This window comes from Homo sapiens, chromosome 8, assembly GCF_000001405.40.
Source record: "Homo sapiens chromosome 8, GRCh38.p14 Primary Assembly".
Classification (NCBI taxonomy): Eukaryota; Metazoa; Chordata; class Mammalia; order Primates; family Hominidae; genus Homo; species Homo sapiens.
This window is the reverse complement of record NC_000008.11, coordinates 69,340,498-69,366,357: the sequence shown is the minus strand read 5'-3', so window position 1 is coordinate 69,366,357 and position 25,860 is coordinate 69,340,498. Positions and strand designations below refer to the sequence as shown.

Sequence of the window (25,860 nt, the reverse complement as noted above, 5' to 3'; positions counted from 1 at the left end):
AATTATTCCTTCAATGTTGCTCCTTGCTCTTTGCATGATCTTAGATAAGTCTTTTATACAAAGAGGTGGAAAACTGGCAGGCAAAGGCCAAGATTCACTCCAAAAATACATTATATTTTTCTTATAGTATTTAGGAAATTGGAAAATTACACCTAAAAATATGGATTTCCAGTTCCTCTTGAAACAAGTGGGACAATCGGTTGATACTGGGCCTGCATGTTTTCCAACCACGTTTGATCAGAGCTGAATGTGGCCATCCCTTGGCTCTGGAGCTTTTGCTGTCTTGGCCATTATCCTCACCGCTCCCTATTGTCTTATCCTGGCCCAGCCCCTCATTTACCATCTGTCTCTTAAAGCACTAAGCTTACACTCTTGGAGCTACATATCCATGTAACCAATTTTATTATCTATAAAATGGGCAGTGGGGAGGGTGATAGGCAATTCTAAGGAAGTAGTTTCCAAATTTAGTTGATTATAAAAAATTGCATATAAAATATATAAATCCTTGGGTTCTATTAATGCTGATTCTGCTTCATCAGATATAGAATGAGCTTTTTTTAAAAAATTATCCAGCTTATTCCACCAATAAATGAGGATTAGAATCCTGACTTAAATAATCTCTCCAATTCTAGCTCTAAAATTCAATCGATCCAACTAAACCCAGAATTGTAGTTTGACAATTCTTTTTCAGGTCAATGAACCTGATGCACTTAATGCTGTGGTGTAATTATTAAATCCAATTAGCCACTGAGTTAAATTATTTTCAGTCAGACTCCAGCTATTTAACATAGCATCCCCCAACCTGTAATCCGAATAGGAGCAAAGGGACATGGGGAGTGAATAATACTCATCTATCACTTCCACATTAAACTGACGTATTCACACAGCAGGTGAATATTCCCACAGCCTGCTCTCACTCTTCTGAGGATATTCATATTAAAAAAAAGTTAGGGAAGAGAGGAAATTCTTATCAATGCACCGTTCGAGTGTAAATAACAGAAAGGGACATTTAGGATATTCAGGATTAAGGGCACTCTGATAAGAGGCCCGTTTCACATGGGCCTTTTAAACTTATGTTAAGAACACTTTCTTAGAAACATGAAAAAGACCAGGAAGGATTTAAATTTGATGCAGTGAGGTCTTTAAAAATTTGGCACAAGTCTTTCTGTTCTTTCAACTCACCCTTCAAGGTATCACAATGTGAAGGAATGCAGGATTCTGGCTCTGACTGCCTAATATCAGAAAACCCTGTTGACTGATGGATGTGGACAAGGGGCTTGGGAGCTGAGCGGTTTCTATGGAGATGGGAATTAGTGAGGAAGTGCTTTCCTTTTGATTATTCTCCATCCTAATAGGGACAATTGCAACCATTTATCTTTTTCTGAAGGAATAAGGACATCTTTGGGAACAATAGCAAGGACTTGAGTGAGACTAGACCCTGTTAAATATCCTAAAATACAAATCTGCTGCTTTTTGCATTGTAAACCCTGAGTTCTTTGATGGTGGCCTTTGCCTAAGAGGCATGACTTTGATTTTGTTGGAGAACAAAATCAGGAAACCCATATTAGTTTTAGATTTGTTTTGTAATATTTTATATGTGATTATAATATTTTAAAGTGAAGATGTATACTAAATATAATAATAGCCAGAATTCATATTTGACCTATAAGCGATACATAATACTTTTACTCATATCTGAGAAGAGATTTGTAACCATCATTCCTATTTTTATGATAAACTAAAGCATTTGTTTTTCATAATTTGTGGAAAATGAAGGTGTGAATACAAATAATGTTTTTGGAATACAAATCTACTGACTTTTCCTGCTGTATTCCCATTCATATCTTCTGTCTTATTCTTTGCTAATACATAATTGTAATACATAATTGAATGAAACAGAAATGTACAAAGAAAAAGTGAAAGGTATACAAATTCCACTACCCATAGCTGACAACAGTCATCTTTTTAGTTGCTATCCTTCCAGATTTTTTTTTTCTTAGCCTACACCCACACACACCCACACACACTCACATTCTCTCTCTCTCTCACACACACACACACCAGTAGTTATAAGGATGATTTATTTACATGTATTTTATAAGAATGAGATTCTATAAGTTACATGGTTCTGAAACTTTTTTCTTGACAATATCTCATGGACTTTTTTCTAGGTCAGCACATCTAGTTCTGCATCTTAAAAACTGACTGCATAGTAATCATTACATAAACATACAATAATTTACTTGATAATTTTCTTATTTTGGACATTTAAGTTGTCTCCTCTCCTCTCCTCTCCCCTCCCTCCTTTCTCGCCTCTGCCTCCTCCCCTCCCCTTCCTTCTCCTCCTCTTGTCCCTTTTCTGCTACTTCTTCCTCTCCCTCTCCTGCTACTTCTTCCTCTCCCTCTCCCTCTCCTTCTTCCCCCTCCCTGCTCCTCTTCCTTCTCCTTCTCAAACAATGCTGCTGTAATGAACTGTAATTAGAAGTTTGGTAAGTACTATTAATATGTCCTCTAAACAAGGACCAGTTTTTATTTCAGCAAAACTTGAGAAGGCTCATTCTCAACACGCTGACGAGCCCTGGATGGTTTTAACAAAAAAAGAGACAACTTCTTTCTAATGGTGTGGTATAAAGTGGTAACTCATGTCCTAATACGTACTTCTTTGATTATTACTGAGTTCTTTAATTCACTTTGAAAAATAATGTTAGACTCTTCTAACCCCAGTGTTTCCCAACCTTGCTTGCACATAGAATCTTTTGAGAGTTTGTAAAATTTCTGATGATCAGACCTAGGCTACAATTAAATCACAACTTATACAGATGAGTCTCAGGCCTCAATTCCTCAGATGAATCCAATGTGCATGGTTGGCTTCAGGGACTGGTTCTCAGAGGGAACCCATGCTTAGTTTAAGGCTCTGCTGTCACTGTCTTGAAGTTAATAATTATTTTATTTTTGAAACTGAGTTTTTTTACATGTGAAGTTTTTGTTTGTTTGTTTATTTGTTTTTTGATACAGAGTCTTGCTCTGTCACCCAGACTGGAGTGCAGTGGTGTGATCTTGGCCCACTGCAACCTCCGCCTCCTGGGTTCAAGCGATTCTCCTGCCTCAGCCTCCTGAGTAGCTGGGATTACAGATGCCCACCACCATGCCCAGCTAAATTTTGTATTTTTAGTAGAGACGGGGTTTTACCATGTTGGCCAGGCTGGTCTCGAACTCATGATCTCAGATGATCCACCCACCTCAGCCTCCCAAATTGCTGGGATTACAGGTGTGAGCCACCACGCCTGGCCACATGTGAAGTTTGATGGAACAATGAAGCATGCCTGTGAGCAGAGGGGATGCACATTATGTTTGTGTGTGCTGTTTCTTTTTTTTTTCTTTTTCTTTCTTTTTTTTTTTTTTTGAGACGAGTCTCGCTCTGTCGCCCAGCCTGGAGTACAGTGGCGCGATCTCAGCTCACCGCAACCTCTGCCTCCCAGGTTCAGGCAATTCTCTGCCTCAGCCTCCCAAATGGCTGGGATTACAGGTACATGCCACCATGCCTGGCTAATTTTTTTTGTATTTTTAGTAGAGACAGGGTTTCACCATCTTACACCACTCACATATTGCCTTCACCTATGGCCCCATGAGCACTGAATTCTGCTGGGCCCAAGATATGTAGGAGGAGTTCGGTGACACTCACAGTGTGCACAAGTTAAGCAGGCTACATCTACAGCTTAGTAAGTGGAGAGATGACAGCCCAGAGAGGCTATGCTTTCCATTCAAACCAGAAAGTGCAATGATGTGTTAAGAACTACAAATGACCAAGGAGCCCCACTGAATCCTTTTGTACTATGTCACTCGTCATCTCAGCCATTTCATTTACACTGAGGCTTTCTCTTATAGAAAGAAAGGGAAAGAGAGAGCAACCTATAGTACCTTTTCCTCTTGGACCTTCCTTAATCATCTGTAAACCACAGGTAGAGAGTGTTGGTAGAATGTGTGGGAATTGAAAAGTGAATTGAGTTAGTTTTGTGTGGTATGTCCACTCATTTTGTGAGAACAAAATACACAGTGTATTCATGCATGAGGTATGAAAAGCAAATTGGGTAATTTGGTGTTTTGCACATGAGTTACATGCTCTTATATTTGCTTTTAAAACTGGCATTGTATAATATAAAAGAAAAAGATAATTAATGCTAATAATTAGAGATTTTATCTTTTCTTAAACCATGATCAAATAGTGTAGGGGCAAAAAGGTGTGATATCTTTCCTCACTCATCCCTAGTTAACAAAAGAGAGGTTAAAAAAAAAGGAAAGCATAACAAATTTATTGAATGAAAATTTTACATGCCGTGAGAAGTTTCAGAAAGGAAGACCCAAAGACTTAGGAAAAACCATCTAATTTTATGTTTAGGTTTGGTGAAGAATGGACAGCCATGTAGAAAGAGATTGGACAAAAGGGTCTGATCTCATGGTAATAGACCGACAGGGAAGTCCAGCAAGGCCTGTCTGCTCAGATTCTTTTTGTCCTGTCTATGTAGCATTCCTCTGTTTGGACTCAGAAAACAATACTCCAAAGTCAAGTTCTAGGAAGCAGCCTCAGAAGCAGAAGTTTTTCTCTTACCTTCTCTTGCCCTCCTGTCTCTTGGCTCCATTTTCCCCTAAGGCAGGCCATAGAAAATGGAACCCTTTTTTTCCAAAGCCAGCCATAAAGTTGAAAAATGTTACTCTACCCCTTCCCTACCCATGCTTTTCTGTGTAACAACTGGTCATAAAGAAATTAAGACCCTCATTCCAGAGGTATCCTACCCTATAACCGGGAGGAAGAAATGCTGCCCAAAGTCAACAGGAATAAGGACAGGCCTCAGTGGTTTCCCCACGCAGTCTACTGGCATACAGATCATAACCTTTTTGTCCAGTCACATTTCTACATGGCTGTCCATTCTTTGTTGAACCTAAGCATAAAAATGGATAGTTTTCCCTGTATCTTTGGGTCTTCACTTTGAAGGCTCCTGTGTTTCATAAAACAATGATCAAATAAATTTGTTATGTTTTCCTCATTAATCTTTGTTATAGAAGGTTGGGCCATGACCTTTATGATAGGGAGGAAGGAGATCACTACTGTTCTGCTTCTACACCTTCTACCTGGGTATAGGACAAGATCGCTCTGGAATGAGGGTATTCAAGGGAGAAGGGAGGAGGTGACCTTTTTAGGTTTTATGGCATGCTTTGGGTGAGAGGAATTCCAGTTTCCATGGATCACCCTGGGGAAGAGGAATTCCGGTTTCTATGGCTCCCTTTAGAGGGGAAAGAGGGTCAGGAGACAGGAGGGTAGGCAAAGCTCAAAGAGACCTTGGCTGTGAGGCCTTTCCAATGTCCTTCAGATCAAAGTACTCAGAATGCCAAGGTGCCACATGACAATAGAAAATAAAAAACACCATTACTAGTCAAGAGAGAGAATGTGGAAGAAAGAAAAGAAAATTTCACACTTTAATTACACTTTTTTTTCCCTGTGTTTGAACAAGGGGCCCTACATTTTATTTTGCACTGGCCCCACAAATTAGGTAGCCAGCCCTCAGCCAAGTTCGAGAATCGCTGGCTTACTCCTTACCCTACACAACTTAAGCGGTTCTCCTTCAAGTTGATCTCCTGTATTACTGTGTGTCATTGTACTCCAGTGGCTTATGGTTTCTTTTAAGAGAAATTAACATGTTTTTCCCCCTGGAAGACAGTTAGAAATCGAGGAGCTGTGAAGAATATAGAAGCATATGTGCACAATTGCTCTTTTGACACGAGGATAAGTGGTAGAATTCAAAGTAATTAGGATTATGTTTTTAAATATAATTATAGGATATATTGTACCATTCTCAGTGGATTATAAACTCCACAGAGACATGATTTTTGTACTCTTCCCAAGAACTAGTAGGATGCCAACTGTATAGCAGATGTTCCATAAATATTGCTGAATTAATTAATCACAAAGTTTGCAAAGATCTAGTATTTTAATATTTAAGGTTGTTTCTCTCACACAGTTATGTATTCAAGTGAAATATTAGCAACCGTCTAACTAACGATTCATTTTTGAGTAGTGTTTTTGGTATGTTTGTTTTGCTGGTTCTTAGTTCTCACTCTGCATCTTGGAACAGCTCTGTCATCTCTTGGTGGACCTGAGGAAGTTCCATGGCTCACATTATTGTCTTTTGTGGCTATGATAAAACTGCCTTTGAGGAGCATATCTAGAGATAAAAATCTTGTTGGTTAAATGGAGTTATTTGGAGATTCATGATGAGCCTGGAAATCCCCAAAACACTTGGAGGTACTCACTGAGTCCTAGGAATGAGGTCCTGCAGAGGACTGATGGCTGTCCACATGACTTTGCCCACACCTGGCTTCCTTGTCTGTGAGACCTGGAGTGGCCACAGCTGGGTAACTCTCCCTACTGCTAGATCTGAGCCTGAGCCTTGGTTCAATAGGTACGTAGCCAGTGAAAATGGGGGTAGTGGAAATGCTACCCTTGGAAAAGAGGATAAGGATCTAAAGTGAGGAAGATTGGTGGGAAGCACATGGACCAGTAAGACAAAATGATGGACTTTTTTTGTGAAAGAAATAAATCTGAATAATTTCCAAACTTCAGAGGCAACAAAATTAAAATGTTTCTACATTCAGATTTCTTGGACTGCCTGTCCCTGAGTGTATGTTGTGAATCTCCTTGAAGAGATAGAAGTTTAATTAATTGCTGAAGGCTCTTGTTAGCACTAGAACAGAGGCACGATATGCACTCTGCCAGTAAAACTTGAGTTTTTTGACATTACATAATCAGATCAAGTGGTGCTGGCCCCATGGAAATTAAAGAGAAGAGGATTATCTTTAGCTTATTTTCAAACTAGTATTAGTGGGAATCACAGACACGGATATTAATTTTATAAATGAAAAATAGACTGTTAACCGTGCACAAAGGATCACTTGTGCCACCCAAATCTATGCTAATCTCTATTCCAAATCCCTTAGCAACTGTTACTTGGTTAGAAAGGTTCAATTTCCAAAAAGGAAGAAAACTTTCTGAACATGTTGCAGCGAAATTTGGTTTTCGGATATCAAGTTATTAAAAATATAAAATATTACATAATGTAATAAAATGATTTTCTAAAATGAGTTTGAATTATCCTTTAAATGCAGCAAAGTTCTCCTAAATTACATGCTTTAACTTCTGCATTGTAATAAGAAGTAGTAAATAAGAGAAGGACAAAAGTGTACCAAAACAACTTATGAGCTGAAGATTAAAAAAAGAGCTTCATATTGTTTTCTTTAAGTGGACATTCATTCATTCATTCATACATTTGCACACTCAATAATTTGTACATGAGTGACTACCATGTGCTAAGTTCTAAGGCATATACAGAATTTATCTAGTGCCTGGCCTAAAGAAGTTTATAATCCCGTAGGAATATGAATTTAAACATTATAATTGTAAGAAATACAAACATTGTTATGATGGAGTTATGAAGAACCTTATTCACACATTTAAAAACTAAAGTGTATATATATATATATCAAAAACATCATGTTGTACGACATAAATATAAATAATTTTTGTCAATAAAAAATAAATAACATTAATGACTTTGCTGCAATGAAGTTAAAAAATAAATTGTATAAAATATGTATTAATTTTAAAAACAAGTGAAATGGAAAATTGCTAGGAAAATGTAACTTACTAACATTTACCGGCACATGCCTGGAGTCCTTGCTACTCAGGAGTCTGAGGTGGGAGGATCTCTTGAGCAGAGGAGTTTGAGTCCACCTTGGGCAACACATCAAGAACTTGTTTCTAAAATATAAATATAACAAGAAAAAATAAACCGGTAAAGATATTATAAGATATTGTAGCAGCAGTTAAAAATATAACAACAACCATAACAAAAAAACAGCTAAAGAAAAAACCCACACAAGGCCTAGATCATTCATAGGCACATTCTCCTCAACATTTAAGGAACAAATAATCCGTATATTTTACAGCGTGTTCTAAATAAATATTTGTTAAATATATTAATTACTGAATACTGAATAAGGAGAATGAGCAAAGAGGGAATACTTTCCACCTCATTTTATGAAGGTAGTATAACCTTGATAACAAAATCAGACAAGAACAGCACAAGAAAGAAAAATTATGGTTTAGTAACAATTATGAAATAGACATTCATATTATATTCACATGTATGTATATGTTTGTATATTTTTGTATGGGTGTGCATGTCAGTATTTGTGTACAATATTGTAACACATTATGGTCAAATTGAGCATAGCTCAGGAATATAAAGAGGTTTAAAATTATAGACTCTATTGATGTAATTCTCTATATTAAATATTAAATAACACAAAAAATTTATCTCAATAGATGCAGAAAAATTATCTGATAAAACTTCATATTCTTTCACTATAAAAACTCTCAGCAATGTAGCAATAGCAGTGAATTAATTTTACTTGATAAAAAGAATTTATGAAAATGCTATGGCAAATAGCATCCTTAATGATAAACAGAATAATTCCCTTTGAAGTCAGGAACAACAGCAGGAAGCTCACTAATTATTGTATTGGAGATACAAACTAGTTATAGCACGACCAGAAAAAAGGCATAAAGATTGGAAAAACAGCAAAAATGCTGTCAATATGTATATATAATATTTACATATTTGTGATTAAAACCCAAGGGGATCTCATTAGAATTAATAACAGAATTCAGCAGAATCTGAATATCTGTATACAAAAATCCAATAAATTAACATACTATGAAAACAACTAATTTGAAAGGTTATATTTTACAATAGCAATACAAATTCTAATATGTTGAGAAATCTAGTAAAAACAGCAGTTTCAGCTGTTTGAAAAAGAAAAGTGGGCTTAAATAATGAGGGCATTTATTCTTTAGTTAAGAAAATACCTGGGAGGAGGAGCCAAGATGGCCGAATAGGAACAGCTCCGGTCTACAGCTCCCAGCGTGAGTAACGCAGAAGATGGGTGATTTCTGCATTTCCATCTGAGGTACCGGGTTCATCTCACTAGGGACTGCCAGACAGTGGGTGCAGGTCAGTGGGTGGGTGCAGGTCAGTGGGTGCACGCACTGTGCGTGAGCCGAGGCAGGGCGAGGCATTGCCTCACTCGGGAAGCACAAGGGGTCAGGGAGTTCCCTTTCCTAGTCAAAGGGGTGACAGAGGGCACCTGGAAAATCGGGTCACTCCCACCCGAATACTGCGCTTTTCCGACGGGCTTAAAAAAACCGCGCACCAGGAGATTACATCCTGCACCTGGCTCGGAGGGTCCTACGCCCACGGAGTCTCGCTGATTGCTAGCACAGCAGTCTGAGATCAAACTGCAAGGCGGCAGCGAGGCTGGGGGAGGGGCGCCCGCCATTGCCCAGGCTTGCTTAGGTAAACAAAGCAGCCGGGAAGCTCGAACTGGGTGGAGCCCACCACAGCTCCAGGAGGCCTGCCTGCCTCTGTAGGCTCCACCTCTGGGGGCAGGGCACAGACATACAAAAAGACAGCAGTAACTTCTGCAGACTTAAATGTCCCTGTCTGACAGCTTTGAAGAGAGCAGTGGTTCTCCCAGCACACAGCTGGAGATCTGAGAACGGGCAGACTGCCTCCTCAAGTGGGTCCCTGACCCCTGACCCCCGAGCAGCCTAACTGGGAGGCACCCCCCAGCAGGGGCACACTGACACCTCACACGGCCCAGTACTCCAACAGACCTGCAGCTAAGGGTCCTGTCTGTTAGAAGGAAAACTAACGAACAGAAAGGACATGCACACCAAAAACCCATCTGTACATCACCATCATCAAAGACCAAAAGTAGACAAAACCACAAAGATGGGGAAAAAACAGAGCAGAAAAACTGGAAACTCTAAAAAGCAGAGCGCCTCTCCTCCTCCAAAGGAACGCAGTTCCTCACCAGCAACGGAACAAAGCTGAACGGAGAGTGACTTTGACGAGCTGAGAGAAGAAGGCTTCAGACGATCAAACTACTCCGAGCTATGGGAGGACATTCAAACCAAAGGCAAAGAAGTTGAAAACTTTGAAAAAAATTTAGAAGAATGTATAACTAGAATAACCAATACAGAGAAGTGCTTAAAGGAGCTGATGGAGCTGAAAAGCAAGGCTCGAGAACTACATGAAGAAGGCAGAAGCCTCAGGAGCCGATGCGATCAACTGGAAGAAAGGGTATCAGTGATGGAAGATGAAACGAATGAAATGAAGTGAGAAGGGAAGTTTAGAGAAAAAAGAATAAAAAGAAATGAGCAAAGCCTCCAAGAAATATGGGACTATGTGAAAAGACCAAATCTACATCTGATTGGTGTACCTGCAAGTGACAGGGAGAATGGAACCAAGTTGGAAAGCACTCTGCAGGATATAATCCAGGAGAACTTCCCCAATCTAGCAAGGCAGGCCAACATTCAGATTCAGGAAATACAGAGAACGCCACAAAGATACTCCTTGAGAAGAGCAACTCCAAGACACATAATTGTCAGATTCACCAAAGTTGAAATGAAGGAAAAAATGTTAAGGGCAGCCAGAGAGAAAGGTCGGGTTACCCTCAAAGGGAAGCCCATCAGACTAACAGCAGATCTTTTGGCAGAAACTCTACAAGCCAGAAGAGAGTGGGGGCCAATATTCAACATTCTTAAAGAAAAGAATTTTCAACCCAGAATTTCATATCCAGCCAAACTAAGCTTCATAAGTGAAGGAGAAATAAAATACTTTACAGAGAAGCAAATGCTGAGAGATTTTGTCACCACCAGGCCTGCCTTAAAAGAGCTCCTGAAGGAAGCGCTAAACATGGAAAGGAACAACCGGTACCAGCTGCTGCAAAATCATGCCAAATTGTAAAGACCATCGAGACTAGGAAGAAACTGCATCAACTAATGAGTAAAATAACCAGCTAACATCATAATGACAGGATCAAATTCACACATAACAATATTAACTTTAAATGTAAATGGACTAAATGCTCCAATTAAAAGACACAGACTGGCAAATTGGATAAAGAGTCAAGACCCATCAGTGTGCTGTATTCAGGAAACCCATCTCACGTGCAGAGACACACATAGGCTCAAAATAAAAGGATGGAGGAAGATCTGCCAAGCAAATGGAAAACAAGAAAAGGCAGGGGTTGCAATCCTAGTCTCTGATAAAACAGACTTTAAACCAACAAAGATCAAAAGAGACAAAGAAGGCCATTAAATAGTGGTAAAGGGATCAATTCAACAAGAAGAGCTAACTATCCTAAATATATATGCACCCAATACAGGAGCACCCAGATTCATAAGGCAAGTCCTGAGTGACCTACAAAGAGACTTAGACTCCCACACATTAATAATGGGAGACTTTAACACCCCACTGTCAACATTAGACAGATCAATGAGACAGAAAGTCAACAAGGATACCCAGGAATTGAACTCAGCTCTGCACCAAGTGGACCTGATAGACATCTACAGAACTCTCCACACCAAATCAACAGAATATACATTTTTTTCAGCACCATACCACACCTAATCCAAAATTGACCACATAGTTGGAAGTAAAGCTCTCCTCAGCAAATGTAAGAGAACAGAAATTATAACAAACTATCTCTCAGACCACAGTGCAATCAAACTAGAACTCAGGATTAAGAATCTCACTCAAAACCGCTCAACTACATGGAAACTGAACAACCTGCTCCTGAATGACCACTGGGTACATAACGAAATGAAGACAGAAATAAAGATGTTCTTTGAAACCAACGAGAACAAAGACACAACATACCAGAATCTCTGGGACACATTCAAAGCAGTGTGTAGAGGGAAATTTATTGCACTAAATACCCACAAGAGAAAGCAGGAAAGATCTAAAATTGACACCCTAACATCACAGTTAAAAGAACTAGAAAAGCAAGAGCAAACACATTCAAAAGCTAGCAGAAGGCAACAAATAACTAAAATCAGAGCAGAACTGAAGGAAACAGAGACACAAAAAACCCTTCAAAAAATTAATGAATCCAGGAGTTGGTTTTTTGAAAGGATCAACAAAATTGATAGACCGCTAGCAAGACTAATAAAGAAAAAAAGAGAGAAGAATCAAATAGACACAATAAAAAATGAAAATGGGATATCACCACCGATCCCACAGAAATACAAACTACCATCAGAGAATACTACAAACACCTCTATGCAAATAAACTAGAAAATCTAGAAGAAATGGATAAATTCCTCGACACATACACTCTCCCAAGACTAAACCAGGAAGAAGTTGAATCTCTGAATAGACCAATAACAGGCTCTGAAATTGTGGCAATAATCAATAGCTTACCAACCAAAAAGAGTCCAGGACCAGAGGGATTCACAGCCGAATTCTACCAGAGGTACAAGGAGGAACTTGTACCATTCCTTCTGAAACTATTCCAATCAATAGAAAAAGAAGGAATCCTCCCTAACTCATTTTATGAGGCCAGCGTCATCCTGATACCAAAGCCGGGCAGAGACACAACCAAAAAAGAGAATTTTAGACCAATATCCTTGATGAACATTGATGCAAAAATCCTCAATAAAATACTGGCAAACGGAATCCAGCAGCACATCAAAAAGCTTATCCACCATGATCAAGTGGGCTTCATCCCTGGGATGCAAGGCTGGTTCAATATACGCAAATCAATAAATGTAATCCAGCATATAAACAGAACCAAAGACAAAAACCACATGATTATCTCAATAGATGCAGAAAAGGCCTTTGACAAAATTCAACAACGCTTCATGCTAAAAACTCTCAATAAATTAGGTATTAATGGGACATATTTCAAAATAATAAGAGCAATCTATGACAAACCCACAGCCAATATCATACTGAATGTGCAAAAACTGGAAGCATTCCCTTTGAAAACTGGCACAAGACAGGGATGCCCTCTCTCACCACTCCTATTCAACATAGTGTTGGAAGTTCTGGCCAGGGCAATTAGGCAGGAGAAGGAAATAAAGGGTATTCAATTAGGAAAAGAGGAAGTCAAATTGTCCCTGTTTGCAGATGACATGATTGTATATCTAGAAAACCCCATTGTCTCAGCCCAAAATCTCCTTAAGCCGATAAGCAACTTCAGCAAAGTCTCAGGATAGAAAATCAATGTACAAAAATCACAAGCATTCTTATACACCAACAACAGACAAACAGAGAGCCAAATCATGAGTGAACTCCCATTCAAAGAGAATATTTGCTTCAAAGAGAATGAAATACCTAGGAATCCAACTTACAAGGGATGTGAAGGACCTCTTCAAGGAGAACTACAAACCACTGCTCAAGGAAATAAAAGAGGATACAAACAAATGGAAGAATATTCCATGCTCATGGGTAGGAAGAATCAATATCGTGAAAATGGCCATACTGCCCAAAGTAATTTACAGATTCAATGCCATCCCCATCAAGCTACCAATGACTTTCTTCACAGAATTGGAAAAAACTACTTTAATGTTCATATGGAACCAAAAAAGAGCTCGCATCGCCAAGTCAATCCTAAGCCAAAAGAACAAAGCTGGAGGCATCACACTACCTGACTTCAAACTATACTACAAGGCTACAGTAACCAAAACAGCATGGTACTGGTACCAAAACAGAGATATAGATCAATGAAACAGAACAGAGCCCTCAGAAATAACGCCGCATATCTACAACTATCTGATCTTTGACAAACCTGAGAAAAAAAAGCAATGGAGAAAGAATTCCCTATTTAATAAATGGTGCTGGGAAAACTGGCTAGGCATATGTAGAAAGCTGAAACTGGATCCCTTCCTTACACCTTATACAAAAATCAATTCAAGATGGATTAAAGACTTAAATGTTAGACCTAAAACGATAAAAACCCTAGAAGAAAACCTAGGCATTACCATTCAGGACATAGGCATGGGCAAGGACTTCATGTCTAAAACACCAAAAGCAATGGCAACAAAAGCCAAAATTGACTAATGGGATCTAATTAAACTAAAGAGCTTCTGCACAGCAAAAGAAACTACCATCAGAGTGAACAGGCAACCTACAAAATGGGAGAAAATTTTCACAACCTACTCATCTGACAAAGGGCTAACATCCAGAATCTACAATGAACTCAAATAAATTTACAAGAAAAAAACAAACAACCCCATCAAAAAGTGGGCAAAGGACATGAACAGACACTTCTCAAAAGAAGACATTTATGCAGCCAAAAAACACATGAAAAAATGCTCACCATCACTGGCCGTCAGAGAAATGCAAATCAAAACCACAATGAGATACCATCTCACACCAGTTAGAATGGCAATCATTAAAAAGTCAGGAAACAACAGGTGCTGGAGAGGATGTGGAGAAATAGGAACACTTTTACACTGTTGGTGGGACTGTCAACTAGTTCAACCATTGTGGAAGTCAGTGTGGCGATTCCTCAGGGATCTAGAACAAGAAATACCATTTGACCTAGCCATCCCATTACTGGGTATATACCCAAAGGACTATAAATCATGCTGCTATAAAGACACATGCACACGTATGTTTATTGCGGCACTATTCACAATAGCAAAGACTTGGAACCAATCCAAATGTCCAACAATGATAGACTGGATTAAGAAAATGTGGAACATATACACCATGGAATACTATGCAGCCATAAAAAAGGATGAGTTCATGTCCTTTGTAGGGACATGGATGAAATTGGAAATCATCATTCTCAGAAAACTATCACAAGAGCAAAAAACCAAACACCGCATATTCTCACTCATAGATGGGAATTGAACAATGAGAACACATGGACACAGGAAGGGGAACATCACACTGTGGGGACTGCTGTGGGGTGGGGGAGTGGGGAGGGATACCATTGGGAGATATACGTAATGCTAGATGACAAGTTAGTGGGTGCAGCACACCAGCATGGCACATGTATACATATGTAACTAACCTGCACATTGTGCACATGTACCCTAAAACTTAAAGTAAAATAATAATAAATTAAAAAAATATATATCTGAAGGTAGTTTGTTGTGGCAACTCAACAATGTCGGCATTGTTCTAGGCTTTGCCCATTTTTGCTGTGCCATCAAGAGTGGCTTCAGGGGCGTGTGACCTGTAAAGTCATATAGGGTTCAAACTCAGAAGGGTCTCTTGCTTGGTTTAAAGCTTGCTGTTGCTGTTTGAATGCCTTGAAAATTTTATCTTTGCACTTGTGTTGAGTAAATGAACTCTGATGGGACAGTGGAACATGTGTGTAATGAGAGGAAATACATACAATATGAGTGTCTGTCATTCCTTGCCCCTCCATTTGCATATAGTCTTTGTGATGTCCCATAAGGATTGAATTCCAGTGGACCCAGGAATCATGGGAGTTCATTGAGACTCAAAGTGAGCACAAGTTAAACATGTTACATCTATGACTAAGTAGGGGAGATGATATTCCAGAGCGGCTACACTTTTCATTTAAACGAAAACTTGCTTCAAATATAAAAAGAAGGCAGTGCCATTCTAAGGACTATAAATAAGCAAGGAGTCTTATATCCTTTCACTTTCATGTCACGTCCCTATATTAGCCATTTCATTTATACCAAAAATGATGGCATCAAAGGAAAGGGAAAAATAGGGCAATGCATTGTACCTTTTCCTTTCAGTCCCTTCCTTACTCATCAGTAAGTGGAAAGTAGAGAATTTTGGGACTATGTGTGTGAATCAAAACATGAAATAAAGACAATTGAGTTTGTCTTGTGCAGTGTCCTCAGTGTTTGGTAAGAAAGAAATACACATGCATGCGTATACAAGGTAAGAAATGCAAGTAGCATAATGTTGGTGATTCTGTATATAAATCAAATGCTCTTGCATTTAACACTGGCATTAAACAATATAAACTGCAATGATAAAATTCATGCTAATAAATTAAATTTTATTCTTTACTGATAACATCATCAAGTAGTAAATAAAAAACACTATGGAGCCAGACACAGTGGCTCATGCCTATAATCTTAGCACTTTGGAAGGCCGAGGGGGGCGGATCACTTGAGCTCACGAGTTCGAGACCAGCCTGGGCAACATGGCAAAACCAGATCTCTATAAAAAATACAAAAATTCACCCATCGTGGTGGCATGCATCTGTAGTCCCAGCTACTTGGGAGGCTGAAGTTGGAGAATGGTTTGAGCCTGGGAGGCAAATGTTGCAGTGAGGCGAAACACTGCCACTGCACTCCAGCTTGGGCTATAGAGCCAGACCTTGTCTTGAAAAGATTAAAAAAATGCTATGGCAAGTTGAGAAAGAGTCCATGGAAGAAAGGAAAATGCTTTATATTTTAGTACCTTTAATGACACTTTTTTCTGCTTTTTGGGTGAGGCCCTGCATTTTAATTTTTTATTGGGATTTGCAAATTATATAGCCAGCTCTGCCTGCCACCTTAAGCTTATTGCTTGCCCTCTAGCTCTTCCCCCCATAAGAGTTACCCCATAATTGCAAAGTAGCTCTCAAAGTTCCAGGCATCAAATCTGTGTTTGAGGCAGGAAATAGATGGAAGAGTTGGTGATAGCAAGCTTTTCTTTTATGGTCATTACGTTTATCAGGAGTTTAAAAGTCTTTCCAGAAACATTCAGCCAACATTGGGCCCCATGGACACTTTTAGTTGCAACAAAGTATGGAACAATAAGCATCTGGCATAGAGGAATAGAACCTTCCAAACCAATATCTCGCAAAGAATACCGTCTAAGGCAGGGATTGGCCAACTTTGTCTGTGAAAGGGCCAGATAGGCTCTGGTGGCTATATATAGTCTCTGTTGCAATCATTCAACTTTGCTGCTCTAGTGCGAATGCAGACATAGACAACATGTAAACAAATGGGCCTGGCTGTGTTCCAGAAAAACTTCTTCATAAAAATTGTAAGTGGGTCAGACTAACTGTGGGCTGTAGTTTGCTGACCCCTGCTTAGAACTTTATTTCGCTTTGGTTACCAAATGGTAGACCAGGGGGATGATGATAATTAAGTAGGTGCTATTTATTGAATGCCTACTGTGTATTCGTCACCTGAAGCTGAACACATTGCCATCTCTAAAACATATTTGTATTTTCTTATCAAGGAAGAAAGCAGTTTGTTGAGAAGGCAAGTAGCGGAATCTGCCACAACACAAATTAAGACTTGATTAAAAGAGATACAAATGCATAGATGGAAAGCCTTGCTATTGTAAAGATACCACTTTTCTCCAAATTAATCCACAAATTCCATGCAATTCCAATCAACATTTCTGTAGTTTTTTTATAGAACTTGAGCAGTGGATCTGCTCAGTGGATTTTTTATGGAACACATACATGTAAAAAGTAAAACATCAATACTTTTGGTAGAAATTTAAACTTGAAGCAGGACAGAGCTTAAAAAATAAGACACAAAAAACGTAAGCAAAAAAGGAACATTTTGATGAATCGGTTTTCATTAAAATGAAAAACTTTCATAGAATAAAAGGCATCAGAATCAAAGTGAACAGACATTCCAGGGAGTGGTGGACATTAGTAAAGCATATAACAAAAAATGGTTAGGTCTGGAATATATAAAAACAACTAGAGAAAAGTGGGTGAATAATGTGAAGCAGAAATTCACAGAAGAACCCTGAGAGGCCCACAAACATATGAAATTTATTTTCAATCCTGCTAGTATCAGGGAAATGGAAACAACAATCAAGTTTTATGCCATACGTATTAGATAGGCAGTACTTAAAAAAAGTGAAAATCCAGTAGTTGGCAAGCACGTGGAACAATTAAAATTCTCAACCACTGTTGGTGAGATATGTAATAGCAAATAATTGGAAACAACCTAAATATCCATTAACGGAGGAATAGTTATCTACATATTTATGTATGTATGTATGTATGTATGTATGTATCTATCTATCTATCTATCATCTATCTATCTATCTATCTTCTCTCTATTCACCTATCTTTTTTTCTGTCTATATTACCTATTTATCTGTGTGTGTATTATATATAGTGATATGTTCAATATAATGACATTAAAACTGTTGAGATAATAAACTGGCTACATGCATCAAAATAGATATATCTGAAAAATAAATCTATAAATCTAATGTGGTAAGAAAAATGGTAGAGTACTGTAAGTATTATGACACTATTTAAACTGAGTTTTAGAACACAATATATACACACATATTTAGCAAAAACAAAAAGTGTGCATGTTAATGAGAAATGTTGAATTCAGGATAGTGGTTACATCTTGGGCGGGAGGAAGATAAATGAGACGGGTTGGAGGAGGAAATTTAGCTGCATTCTATAATATTTTACTTCTTAAAAACAATATTTGAAACAAATATTGCAAAATATTTGGGTTTGGCAAAGCTGATTGGCAAGTACACTGGTGTTTATTTTCTCTCTTTTATATGTGTTTGAAAATATTTCATAATACAAATTTTAACTGCCTTGTGATGGTAACCTTTGAAATATTTAAAAATTTGACCCAGCCATCCCATTACTGGGTATATACCCAAAGGATTATAAATCATGCTGCTATAAAGACACATGCACACGTATGTTTATTGCGGCATTATTCACAATAGCAAAGACTTGGAACCAACCCAAATGTCCAACAACGATAGACTGGATTAAGAAAATGTGGCACATATACACCATGGAATACTATGCAGCCATAAAAAATGATGAGTTCATGTCCTTTTTAGGGACATGGATGAAATTAGAAATCATCATTCTCAGTAAACTATCTCAAGAACAAAAAAACAAACACAGCATATTCTCACTCATAGATGGGAATTGAACAATGAGAACACATGGACACAGGAAGGGGAATATCACACTCTGGGGACTGTTGTGGCGTGTGGGGAGGGGGGAGGGATAGCTTTAGGAGATATACCTAATGCTAAATGATGAGTTAATGGGTGCAGCACACCAGTATGGCACATGTATACCTATGTAACTAACCTGCACATTATGCACATGTACCCTAAAACTTAAAGTATAATAAAAAAAAAATTTTATCGAACTTATCCCGGGTCTTGCCTCTACTTGTATAAAATGATGTAGATTGCACAACCCCTTCAGACATTATTCCTTATTGAGGCTGCAGCCTTCTCAAAGCTCATTTAGGCAAGGCAAGGAGAATACTAAGAATCTTACCACCCCCAACAACATGGTAAGGTTTGGGATAGGCTAGCTGTCTTACGTCATATGAGGGCTCTTCATGGGACTGAGGGATGGTGGCTGGGACTAGACTTCCACTCTAGTAACTGTTACTTGGATGACAGCCTTATCCCAAATGTTGGCTTTCTTGACCAGACTCTGATAATCTCAGTTTCCATTCTTCATACTCTACCCTGTACTATGCCAACACAGACTGTATGGTTCTCCTAGGACCATACCATCTTCATTGCCTCTGCCTAGAAACTGTTACCATCATGTCCTGCCATTAAATTAGACCATCTTGTGCTATAAACCCAGCTCGAATCAGGTCTGCTTTTGTCACATCCCTCAGGCTTCTGCAGCAGATCATGCTGACTTACACAGAGCTGGTGGCTCTGTCTGTTGCCAAGTCGCTCCACAACTAGAAAGCCTAGGACAGTCCTGTATATGCCCATTATTACAACAACAATAATTATAACACCCCTTTCACACCCAAAAATACCTTAGTGTGGATGATGAATTATATGGTCACCCCATTCATAGCTCATGTCTGAATATACATCTTTACAAAATGGGGGTTATAGTCAGTGTTCTCCAAAGTAGTTTCCAGTTAAAGCAATAGCCTAAGGTAAGCTTTCATTTGAGGAACACGGGAATCTCATTTATTACTTTTAAAATTTTGTTTAAATATTTAATTTTTTTCTTTTAGAGATGGGTATCACTATCTTGCCCAGCCTGGCCTTCAACTCTGGAATTCAAGTGATTCTCCTGTCTCAGCCTCCCAAGTAGTTGGGACTGCAGGTTGCACAAGTACACCTGGCTCTGATTTATTATTGAAGACTCCAAATAAAGAACTTGCAGAAACTCTAAATGTGGTGTTATGTACTGGAGTCACAACTATTCTGAAGTATGTTACATGTATTTTATTATTATAAGGATTACTATTTTGAGACAAGGTCTCACTCTGTCATCCAGGCTGGAGGGCAATGGTGTGATCATAGCTCACTGCAGCCTTGAACTCCTGAGTTCAAGGGCTCCTCCTGCCTCAGCCTCCTGAGTAGCTGGGACTACAGGCACACGCCATGATACCTGGCTAATTTAAATTTTTTTTTTTTTTTTGTAGAGACAGGGTCTCACTTTTTTGCCCAGCTGGTTTTGAACTGGGATCAAGCGATCCTCCCACCTCAGCCTCCCAAGTGCTGGGATTACAGGCATAAGCCACCACACCTGGCCTATTTTTCTATTCAATGGTCAAGAAAACCAATGTTTTAAAATGTTACTTTATTTTATAAATTAGAACAAATTGCAGGTTGCCCTTTGTCCCTACAGCAAATGCTTACTTGCATTACAATGTACTTTCTTAATAAAGGAAGAAAAGTGTAGAATTACAGCTGGCAATTTTATTCTTCCAGCTGCGTGGGCTAAAAACTTGGAGTCATCCTTGACAGTGCTCTTTTATTATATCCCAAATCTGACCACACCTCTCCATCTCTACCACTTTCATTTTGGGGGCTGCCACCACCATCTTTCTCCTGGATCGTTGCAATACCTTCTCGTAAGTGGTTTACCTGCCTCAGCACTTGGTCTTCTGGATCTTGCCAGCACACAGCAGCTGGGGTGGACAGATCACACCACCCCTCACTACAAACGTGCCAACAGATACTTATCTTAAAATTAAAACAAATTTCAAATATCATCTCCTCCTGCTGTCTTCTAGGGAGACTGGCTTTGTCCTCTTCCTCAAACACATGAAGCTCCTGCCTTTGCTCTTTTTCTCTCTGAACCCACTTCTTTCAGGTATCTGGGTGCTTTCTCAGTTCCAGTCTCCTCTCAAATGTCACCCCATCAGAAAGGATGTCCATGGTGACCCTACTTAAAATAGCACACCAACTCCCACGCCCCTCCCACTGAATTCTCTTATTCCCAACTCTGTTTAGCTTTTTATAACACTTCTGTCTCCTGACATGTTATATATTTATATGTTTATTGTGTATCTTGTCACATGAGAAAGAGAAGAGTCCAATATATTGGAGATGGGGTCCGTGAATTGATGATAATCCTGGTTATATCCTTTAGTGAGTGTCTCCCACATGAATAACATCTAATGTGTGTGGGTGCATGCACATGTGTGCTCCAATAGTGTAAGGTGGTACACAGCACTTGCTTTATTTCACCCCAGAAAATCCATGGCTCTTTCGTTGCTGTTAAATGACAATAAAGCAGGTGGATTTATTGGCTCTGATGGCAGCTGGCTGATTTACCCTTCCTGACCCTCCCATTGAAAACTCTTGGAAGCATAAAAATTGCTGCAGAGATCCAACAACATTGAAAACTAGAAATATCAAATAATGCATTGCCAGACCTTGGGAAGAATTTCAGGAACCACAACACAGATGGAACTGGATTGACAAGCCATTAGTGGCTGACACATACTTTGAAATTGATGAAACAGAACAGCAGAGCCAAACAAAAAAAAAAGGCTAGGGGGCCCATGTCTCCAGCTTGGAAGCTGATTTTCTATATGAGCTTTCTGCTGTTGAAATAAATATGAGATACAAAGATGGTCATTGAAAAAATCATGACCATTTCATTATGTCATAGCATGATTTACTTTCAGTGCCATGCAATATAGTGTGTTATTTTATCAAATATTTATGTCTATAAGATGTACTTATAATATGTAATCTGCAGTACTTAATGTAGAAGCTATAATAGGGGTTACTATTAACATACATTGTAGATTGTGTATTTTTGGTCTATACATTTTTATCAGGTGGATCTGATATTTTTGCTAAAAACACATGGCAATCCTAAGAAAGATGATAAATGATTTCCAACCACGTCACATCTATGGGCAAATTCAGAGGTGAGGCTGGCTAAGCAGAGAAGGCTTACCTGGCCACAAGGCCAACACTTTCTGTGGGTGGCCACATCTATTTTCAAGACCAGCTTCATGGGCATACAACTGTGCAGTTCCATGGAGCCTCATGCTTAGAAGCGCTTGGTTTGGTGCCTTGCTGTTGCCATCTTGAAATTCTTAATAATTTTGCATTTGAACTTCTGTTTTATAAGTTAAGTCTGATAGGACAATGGGGCACATATATGAATAGAGGAGATCCAGGCAATATGCGTGTCCATGGCCTCTTGCTGCCTCATTCACATATAGCATTTGTGATTCCCACTAAGTGGATTCTATGACATGCTCACCTTACTCTTGGGGCCTTGCTCCTAGAAGGACTCTCACTTGGCTTAATGTTCTACTGTCACCATCTCCAAATTCTTAATAATTTGGTCTTTAGTCTTGTGTTCTGTATGTGAAGTCTGATGGACAATGGAGCATGTGCATGAGCACAGGAGATGCATGCGGGGTGCCTGTTGCTGGCTACCACACCATTCTCACACAGCCTTTGAATCCCCACGAACACAGAGCTCCAGGAGACCCACATTGTGTGAGAGTTCGGTGGGCCTCAAAGAGTGTACAAATGAGTGTGTTGTGTTTTCAGCTGAGCAACTGGAGAAGATGACAGCCCAGAAGACCAGAACTTGCCTTGAATGCAGGAAGAGGCAATGCCACTCTAAGAAACATGAACAACCCTGGAAGACGATCATATCCTTTCTCAATATTATAGACTGAACTGTGTCTTCCTTGCAAACTCACATATTGAAGTCCTAATCCCCCAGTACTTCAGAATATGACAGTATTGGTACAGAGTGTCTTTAAAGAGGTAATTAAGTTAAATGAGGTTATTGAGTTGGGCCTTAATCCAACGGTTGTTATCCTTGTAAGAAGAGAAAATTTGGACACAGATACCCACAAAGGGAAAACCATTGAATGCTCAGGGAGAAGGGAGATATTTGCAAGGCAAGGAGAGAGGCCTCAAAAGAAATGAACTCTTGTCGACACCTACCTTCATCTTGAACTTCCAGCCTCCAGAAGTATGAGAAAGATAGATTTCTGTTGCGTAAGCCACCCAGTCTGTGGTACTCTGTTTTGGCAGCCTTAGCAAACCAATACACTTAATATGTTACTTCCCTATATTAGCCAATAACTTATGCCGAAAATTATGACAGAGGAAAGGGAAAGATACGGCAATGCACAGATTCTTTTCCTCTCAGTCCTTCCTTACTCATTGGTAAGCTGAAGATAGAGAGTGCTGGTAGAATGGGTGTGAATCAAGAAGCAAAATAAAAACAGCTGAGTTCATTTTGTGCAGTGTTTCCACTGTTCTGCTAAGAACAAAATACATATGCATTTATTTCTTTGTTGATTTTAAGTGTTAAATGATATAATGAATGTAAATTTCTTCCTTCAGTGTCTATACAAAATTGGTGATAACTGAGATGATTTTAATGTTGGGTTGGGTCTACACAATAAAAGTAAATGAAAATAGAAAAAGGTTCCCTTAAAAATAAATGAAAATATAATGTGAAGTGGTGCAATATTAGGTTAATATTAATAATAGTTAATATAAATAGTTAATATATTAATAAAGATTTGGAAGTTAATTGAAGTGACAGGCTGAGGAAAGGGTCTAATATTTCTCATCTGTGTTGGGACTATTAAATTATACTTTTCAGAGTCAGGTGTGGTGGCTTGTGCCTCTAATCCCAGCTACTTAGGAGGCTGAGGCAGGAGGACTGCTTGAGCCCAGATGTTTGAGACACCCCAGCTCAGTTCACGGGACACTCCCCGCTCAGTTCACCGCGCCCATCCTGCTCCCAGGGCCAAGTGTTTCCAAGTCTAGAATCACAAATAGAAGCCAATTCAATCTTTAAACTAGATTTGTTGTAGTTTTGCCTCCGACACTATAACAGCCTGGGGCCTGGTCCACAAGGCTGGGCAATGGTGCGCTGGATCCAGGGCGCCTGTGGGGCCTGTGTGGAGGTGACGCTGGGTGTGGAGAGTTCAGATGACCATCTACCTGATTTTGCATATTCACGGGCCACAAAAAAGGTTGCAGCTATTTCTGACGCTAAGCCAGTCCTGGGTTAGTGACCCCCTGACACGGAGTGTGTGTCAGGAAAGAAGATCCCCGAAGGAAGCTCAGCTCCTGCGAAGGATGAGCTCAGCTTTCCATGTCTGGGCTGGGGGGCCCACAGGCGACCCCACACCCCTCCACAGGACCTTCCTGAGGGGAGGTCCAGGCTCCTTGCATCCTCACTCCCCTGCCCTGATGGTGGAGGAGGCTCAAAGTGAAGCCCCAGCCAGATGTCTATGGAGGCCCCTGCCCCACACCCGGCAGCTCTGGGGGGCCCCTGCCTCCAGGAGGAACAAGGTGGCCAAATGAGGGAGACCTTGGTGAGTTTGTCTGATGAGCACATTCATTCGGCCTGGCTGCCTTCTCCTTTTCAGCTGTTTGTTTCGCATTCCCCAGAACTGCACGTTCATCAGCCCTTGCCTTGTGAAGGATCTCTCTAATTGTTACAGCGTGAGGCAAAAATGCATTCTGGGATGTGCAGGCTGAGAACAAACGTGTGCATCTCTGAGCCTGCGTGCCCGCCCCAGTTCCCCACGTGCCTGCCTCAGCTTCCCGCATGCCCGCCCCAGTTCCCTGCGTGCCGGCCCCAGTTCCTCCCGTCCCCGCCCCACTTCCCCACGTGCCCGCTCCAGTTCCCCGCGGGCCCGCCCTAGCTCTGCTAACAGAGGCTCTCATTGTCTTAAAGTCTCATAGAATGGCATCAAATCGCTGGACATAGAAACTACTTCAAAGCAATGCTTCCCACAAAATCAGATCTTCTTGTATTAAGCAATGTTTCATATAAGATGTGTGTGCCTTTTGGAAACAGTTTTCCTTCCTTGATGAATGTTGGTCTTTAAAATTAATTATGAGTAAGGAAATTTGCATAAAATCACTCCATCAGGAGGTAAGCTGAGTGTTTCGATGACATTTATGGGAAAGGAAAGCCAAGGAATCGGTGGAATTTGATTAGAGGAGGCACTGGGGTTGTGAGGGCATTGCCGACAAAAATGCCCCATGTCAGAGTATAAAAGGAGCCAGAGCCGTAAATTTGGGAAAGGTGATGAATAACTTGAATTTGTGTGAGCAGCTGGGGTTTCTCAGATATTGGTATTGGGGAGGGAGGAGACCTCTTTTAGGGGAGCTTTAAGGAAGTCTGATTAAACAGTGTCCAGAGAAGCTCCATGGGAGAAGCTATAATAGATTGCCTTCATCCAAAGCAAAGCAATAAAACCTCCACAAGTGTCAGTAAAGTGTGTCTAATTTGGCAAATGAAATTGTGATGATGGAGGGTATGTTTCTAAATGTGAAGCATGTCAGTTCAAGGACTGCTGTATTCACTGTGTTCTCTTCTCTGACGCGGAGCTGCACTTAGTTCATGGGTAACAGCCGCACCTGCTCCATCCTAGTGTTCTTTCTCCATGGCTCCTCATTTAGTTTTCTGTTCTTTTTCTCATTTTATGTTTCTGTTGCTCTGCCAGGATGTTTGAACTTCCATTTTGGGGCCTTCCTGTCAAGTGGCTCCGTGTTCCAAATACCACACCTGAGATTTCAGTTCTCTCACAAAAAATTAGCTTTTACTTTTAATAGGGCACACAGTGATAGCTTCTTGCCTTATTTCTTAGAGTCACAAATGTGTGTATGTCCAGCTCTATGATCAAAAGCCCATCAGTCATCTTCCAGGCCAGAATTGGAATTGGAAACCCCAGTGAGTCTGTGACAGTGAACCCAGGTTTCCCCGGTGGCTGAGCAGCCACAACTGGCCCTCACC

The 25,860-nt window shown here is 39.8% G+C and overlaps 1 long non-coding RNA gene across 1 annotated transcript, besides 1 other annotated feature; it reads right to left on the bottom strand.

Annotated features, from left to right (window-relative positions):
• Positions 1-4,294: 4,294 nt before the first annotated feature.
• Positions 4,295-9,431, bottom strand: LOC124901958 (uncharacterized). Its single transcript, XR_007060956.1, has 2 exons — positions 8,921-9,431; positions 4,295-7,810 (listed from the first exon to the last, which is right to left on the bottom strand). It is a non-coding gene; the product is annotated as an uncharacterized LOC124901958 (long non-coding RNA).
• Positions 9,030-9,324: a silencer, noted in NCBI's record as "tiled region #8363; K562 Repressive non-DNase unmatched - State 3:PromF". NCBI's record gives its function as "represses a minimal TATA promoter and a strong SV40 promoter by Sharpr-MPRA in K562 cells {active_cell/tissue: K562}" and the evidence as "EXISTENCE:reporter gene assay evidence [ECO:0000049][PMID:27701403]".
• Positions 9,432-25,860: the final 16,429 nt, after the last annotated feature.